Source organism: Homo sapiens, chromosome 4, assembly GCF_000001405.40.
Source record: "Homo sapiens chromosome 4, GRCh38.p14 Primary Assembly".
Taxonomy (NCBI): domain Eukaryota; kingdom Metazoa; phylum Chordata; class Mammalia; order Primates; family Hominidae; genus Homo; species Homo sapiens.
This window is the reverse complement of record NC_000004.12, coordinates 126,428,260-126,435,290: the sequence shown is the minus strand read 5'-3', so window position 1 is coordinate 126,435,290 and position 7,031 is coordinate 126,428,260. Positions and strand designations below refer to the sequence as shown.

At 35.4% G+C, this 7,031-nt stretch overlaps 1 long non-coding RNA gene across 1 annotated transcript; it reads left to right on the top strand.

Moving 5' to 3' along the window:
* Positions 1-334: 334 nt before the first annotated feature.
* On the top strand, positions 335-3,477 carry LOC124900777 (uncharacterized). The gene is made up of 2 exons (XR_007058266.1): positions 335-470; positions 3,332-3,477. It is a non-coding gene; the product is annotated as an uncharacterized LOC124900777 (long non-coding RNA).
* Positions 3,478-7,031: the final 3,554 nt, after the last annotated feature.

Genomic DNA, 7,031 nt, shown 5'->3' with positions numbered 1-7,031 from the left:
CCCTTCACATACTGGGCCCACTTATGAGGTGAGACTTAGGGAGTTATTCTCTAAGGTTTCCTTTATAAAAAAGGAGCCATTAACAGTTTCTATGGTTTAGAGTTGTTCTAAGAATAAATAAAATAATCTTAATTTTCTTAGCACAAAAGCTGGTATATAGCATGTGTACATTAAATTGTAGAGATCTGTTGTATTATTTGGTGTTTTCTTTCCAAAATAAAGGTTATAATTAGATAAGTAGCTTGTTTTCAGCATTAAAAATGCTCGTTTACGTTACTACTCTTGTCTTTTTTTAATGCTACACATTTGGGAGTAATCCTGAATTTTGTCATTTTAATTCTTTTATGAGAGGATTGCATCCAACATCACTCTTCCTGTATTCTTTGGAGGAGCTTCCGCCTATTGCCTCTGCCCTCCCTGCACCGTGGGACACATGAAGTAGTCTTAGTTCCAGCAGATGGTAACATCAGGTAAAGTGTTTTTAACTCATAGATGTGTCATGCTTTATGATATATAACATTCTTTTTTAAGTTGATATTAAGATCTCTATACTTGGGGATAATATTTAATTTTTACACTTTTTTTTTTTTTTTTGAGACGGAGTCTTGCACTGTCACCCAGGCTGGAGTGCAGTGGCACGATCTCGGCTCACTGCAACCTCTGCCTCATGGGTTCAAGTGATTCTCCTGGCTCAGCCTCCCATGTAGGTTGGACTATAGGCGCTTGCCACCATGCCTGGCTAATTTTTGTATTTTTAGTAGAGACGGGGTTTCACCATGTTGGCTAGGCTGGTCTCGAACTCCTGACTTCAGGTGATCCACCCGCCTCGGCCTCCCAAAATGCTGGGATTATAGGTATAAGCCACTGAGCCGGCCAATTTTTTACACTCTTAAGGGCATTTGAGATCAATTGACTGATCTTTGAGAGAGAAGTCCAGCTGATGAATAAAACAGACATATTTTGAAATTGGAACTCCTATTAACACCTACTTATCCCTTCCTCCAAATAAGAAAGTTATATTTAAATACACACACACACACACACACACACACACACACACACAGAGAGAGAGAGAGAGAGAGAGAGAGAGAGAGCGAATAGTAAGAATTTGTATTCTTGTTTTGTCACTCTTTTAATTCTCAAATATAAGATCTTTTCTTTTAATTGTTCGCTCAAAGTTTCAGTTAGCCAAATTTCTAAAATGTGATAATCACGCTGCCAAAAACCAGCCACAGTTTTGATTGACAGGTCTAACACCATGTTATGAGTGTGTATGGTGTCTATGCTTTCTGTTAGAGGTATTAATATTATTTGAGATATTACTTTTTTGCATAGTGACTTTGAGCTGCTAGCACCTTGCCATTCTCCATGAGAGTTTGATTTGATGAAAACATAAAATTTGGTTATAAGAACATATTAATAGGGATTCAAGCTGGAGCAATCATTTTTTAACATGAAACTCAGCTTTCTTTTATTCATTTTTATTCCTCTATTATCCCTGAACATAAACAGTATTTACAAACAACAAAACTCATGTGAAGAATAGCACTATGTCATGGGAGAATTAGAAAACTATATTAAATGTGCTGAATTCCACCTTTGCCCAAGTAAATCCTGAGTTTTAGTGTCTGTATAGAAGATGGTTCTATGTTCCTAATAGCACTCGTTTCTCAGTAACATAGCTTAAAAATAAACTCTATATTGAATATATTTTATGTGTGTATGTGTATATAATCTACATGTACATGTATTTAGCAGTTTTATGACACATAGCCCAGTAGATAGCATACCTTAACTAACTTTTGGCATTTTCTGCTAAATTCCCCCAGCTAGTGCAATCAAGAAGAATTACCACACCAATTGCTGTGTTTATGTGGTATGAAAAAATTTTTGGACATAAGCTTTGCAATTCATTCTGATTGCCACCAAGTAATTCTTTACAGACCTACGAGTCAAAACTATGGCTGATTTTTGGCAGCTTGATTGTCACATTTTAGAAATTTGGCTAATTAAATCTTTGTGAGTGAACAATTAAAAGGAAAGATCTCATATTTGAGAATTACAATGGTGATGAGAAAAGAGTGCAAATTTTTATCACTGTGTGCATGTGTGCGTGTGTGTACTTAAATATAATTTTCTTATTTGGGAGAGGGGATAAATTTATTAGCACATGCAATGATTTTGATTTGCCCTCTGAATCTTCTTAAATTCTCATTGGCCTTTCCCTCAGTAAGCAAATCTACATTCTTCTTTCCACTGTGCGATGATACCATATGCCACACTTTCCAGGGTGGATTCTCTAAATTTAACTAAAATGAAATATGGAACTAGTGGGCAGAAAAAGTTTCAGTTGGATGTCTGCAGCTATAAGTACTCATAAAGAATCTAAGAGAAAAATATTTGTTTAAAGCATTCCTTAACAAAAATGAAATACAATAACTAGTTAAAGGAATAGAAGAGTTGGAAACCTGGCAAGACTTTTTGGTTCTCTTAAGTTTTGTATTTGACAAAAACCACTAAGACAACTGAACACATTTGCTTGCTGGTGGACTTAATGATAAGCCTGGTATTATGACCTCCATATTTATTTGAGAATACTGGTTTGCATTTGGTTTAGATTCCCATTTATAAGACTTTTCTAAATGTCACAAAGAGGAGTCATGACATAAATAAAGCAACATGACAATATTTGTAGTGTGCTTTATATTATGTTTGCTATTCCATCAGCTCTTATTTCTGGAAACACAGGACAGAATAGCCTAACTCCCAGCTGTTGTGGAGCCTCTGTAAGAACTTCCTATATGATATGCATTTAACTCACCTGTTGGATGAGGCCTGCTTGTATGTGGTGTCTCTTGGGGGTGGTACATTTTAATATGTCAACCACTTCAATTTATTAGACTAAAAGCATTTGAGGGTAGATTTCGAAGTAAAGAAATCAAGGAGGGTGTGTGAAGCATGTCACACTCTGTTAGGAAGTTTTGATATGGGGCGCTTTACGAACCCTGGTGAGACTGTCTGTCCTGGGACTAGCCAATCCCTAGAGTCAGAAAAGGATCCAATGTGACTGTGTCTTTTATATGCAGACTAACCAATGCAGAACTCACAGCCACCACCACACCCCACCTCTTCTATAAGGTTCTAAAACTCTGGACCAATATTCCTTTGCTCCAAACACCCCAAGGCCGGGTACCAGGTATTAGGAACAGTCCTTATGCCTCAGAACCTGTGGAGATTACTTAAAGTAGTGACCCTAAACCTGCTTACACCACCTTGCCCACTTCTTTCCCTGAAAACCACAATAAAGTCTCTTGACCTTGTTTTTCCACAGCTTCCTGGCCAACCTGGCATTTCCCCAGGGAAGAAGGGAAGACGGAATAAGGTTATTAATATATTCAAGTGATAATTTTTTTTTAAATTTTCTTAAAGTCTCATTTGACCTTAGTGCCTATAAATAAATTTATGTTGTTTTTTCATGGCATGGTATGTCCATTTTGGGAACTAAGCAACAAGTTATCTTTTCGACGTCAGTCATCCCTTGATCTGTTGGCCTCACCAGACTTGAATAATAATAAAATCTGTATTTTAAAACAGAAAGATGCCTTGAAAACTAACATTGGGGACAAAAGGAAGAAAAACAAAATAAAAATAGCTGGAGGTTTTCAATTTGTGAAATTCACCAATTTAGGATATAAGATGAAAAAAAGATACTTTCCCAAAAATGCTTTGCAAAGAATAGAAAAGACTATACATTTATCTTCATTATATATCTAAAATAATTTATAAAAAAGTTCAATAAATTCCAAATTTCAGGTCATCGAAGATTAGTTACTCAAAATAATACAATTGCTTTCATCATGTGGTATGGTTTGAATCTGTATCTCCGCCCAATTCTCATGTTGAAATATAATCCCCAATGCTAGAAGTGGGGTCTGGTGGGAGTTGATTGGCTCATGGGGGAGGTTTCCTCATGGTTTAACACCATCCCTCCCTCACCACCCCACCAGCCCTGGCTTTGTTGCAATAGTGCGTTCTCCTGAGATTTGCTTGTTTACAAGTGTGTGGCACCTCCCCGCCTCCTTCCTCCTACTCCAGCCATGTGAAGTGCCTCGCTTCTGCTTTGCCTTCTACCATGATCGAAAGCTTCCTAAGGCCTCCCTCCAGAAGCACAAGCCGCTACACTTCCTGTACAGCCTGCAGAACTGTGAGACAATTAAACCCCTTTTGTTTTCTTTATAAATTGCCCAGTCTCAGGTATTTCTTTATAGCAGTGCGAGAATGGACTAATAATACAACCTGATTTTCAAACTTTATTATGTTCTTTTTTGAGACGTAATTCACATATCATAAAATTCACCACTTTATAGGATAAAATTCAGTAGTTTTAATTATATTAACAAAATTGTGCAATCGTCACCACTACCTAATTCCAGAGTATTTTCACCAGGCCAAACAGAACCCACTTACCCATTAGCAGCCATTTCCTTTCTCTCCCTCCCCACTTCAAACTCTGGTAAACACTGATGTACTTTTTATCTCTATTGATTTGTCTGTTTTGTATGTTTCATATAAAGTGAATTGTACCATATGCGGTCTTTTGTGTCTGGCTTCTTTAACTTGGCATAATGTATTCAATGTTCATCTATATTTTGATATGTATCAGCATTTTGTTCCTTTGTTGTTGAATAATATTCCATTGTATAGATATGCTGCATTTTGTTTAGTCATTCATGAATGGATGGGCATTTTGGTTGCTTACACTTCTTGGCTATTTTGAGTAATGCTTCAATGTACATTCAGGTACAACTTTTTGTATAGATGTATGTTTACATTTCTCATAGGTGTATAGCTAGGAGTGAAATTTCTGGGTCATATGGTAACTCTTTAACTTTTTGTTTTTGAGAAACTGCCAAACTATTTTTTAAAGTAGATACACAATTTTACATTTCCACAGTAATGCACGTGTTCAATTTATCCCCATTAGTGCCAACACTTAATTATTAGTCTCTTTGATGTACAGTTATCCTTTTATTTATTATATGAAGAAGATAATGGTATCTTATTGTGATTTTGATGTGCCTTTCCCTAATGACTAACGACGTCAAACATCTTTTCATGTGCTCATTGGGTATTTGTACATCTTCTTTGGAGAAATGTCTATTCACATTTTTTAATTGGGTTATTTATAGTTGAGATGTTAGGGTTCTTTTTATATTCTGAATACTAGCTTCTTATCAGATATATGTTTTGCAAATATTCCTACACATTCAGTGAGTTGGCTTTTCACTTTCTTCATACTGTCCTTTGAAGCACAAACATTTTAAAAATTTTGATGAAGTCAAATTTATCAAATTTTCCTTTGTTGCTGGGGCTTTGGTGTCATGTCTTAGAAACTATTGCCTAACCCATGATGTGAAGGTTTACACATATGTACTTTTCCAAGAGTTTTATAAATTTAGCTCTTACATATAGACCTTTAGTACATTTTGAATTAATTTTCATGTGTGATATGAGCTAAGGCCCAACTTCATTCTTTTACGTGTGGATATCGTGTTTTCTCTGCATCATTTTGTTGAAAATAAAATTTTTTCCCCATTGAATTATTTGGCACCACTGCTGAAGATTATTTGACTATAAATGTGAGGGTTTATTCCTGAAGTCTTAATTCTATTGATCTATTTGTCTATCCTTATGTTAGTACCACGATGTCCTTAACACTGCAGTTTTGCAGTCAGGATGTGTGAGTCCTCCCATTTTGTTCTTTTTTTCCACATTTTTGGTTATTTTGAGCTCCTTAAATTTCCACCTGAATTTCACAATCAGTTTGTAAATTCTTCAAAGAAGCCAGCTGGAATTTTGATACTAATTGCTTTGAATGTATACGTCAAGTTGAGGAGTACTGGCACTTTAAAAATATTAAATTTTTCCATTAATAAACATGAGGTAGCTTTCCATCATTTCAGGCCTTTAATTTCTTTCAACAATGTTCTGTAGCTGCTCCTAGGAGTTTTATCATTTTTGATGTTATCATAAGTGAAATTGTTTTCTTACTTTTATTTTCAAGTTGATCATTGCTGGAAACACAATTGATTTTTGTATTTTGAATCTTGTACCCTGCATCCTTGCTGTATTTATTAAAACTTTCTATATACATAGTTTATATATATTAAGATAAATTTATGTATATCTTTTGAGCAATTTAATATTTAATAACTGCATTAGTCAGGTTTCTTCAGAGAAACAGAATCAGTAGAATTATATAGAAAATAGAGAGATATTCAACAGAGAGACATTTATTTTAAGAAATGGCTTATGGAATTGTGAAAGCTGGCAAGTTGGAAACCTATAATACGGCCAACAGACTTGAAACAGGCAGATTTTAGGCTGTCATCTGGAGGCAAAAATTCTTGTCTAGGAAACCTCGACTTTGCTCCTAAGATCTTCTACTGATTGGATAAGGCCCTCCCATATTGTCAGCCATAATCTTCTTTACTTAAAGTAAACGTAAACTGATTTCTGGGGAAAATGATATCTACAAATACCTTCACTGCAAATCTAGATTATGGTTTAAATTGACACTTAAGACGATCACAATAGCCAAAATCTTACTTCCTGCTGTGTGCATTGTTAGCCACATTATTTCCGGAATTTTCAGTGAAATTTAAAACATATCAGGGCAATACTCAAAAGAAACTAAAAATTCTCTGATAGTTTGAGAAAAATCTACAGGTTTAAACATTACTTTTTCTTTTTCTTTTTTAGCTACTCCTTGTAGAGCAAGGCTACCCCATAGACGATGTACTCAGAATAACCTAAACACTACTTTTTCTTTCCTAGGGTAGATTGATTAAACACATAATCTCAAAATTGCGCTTTGGGCACTGAATATTTTCTTATTCATCACGTGATCACCATGCAAAGAACATTACTTAACTCTCTGGTATGACAAGGGAGAGAGCCCTACCAAGAATTTGTCTCTTCCCATATCAGATTTAGTTGCATTGTGTGTGTGTGTGTGTGTGTGTGTGTGT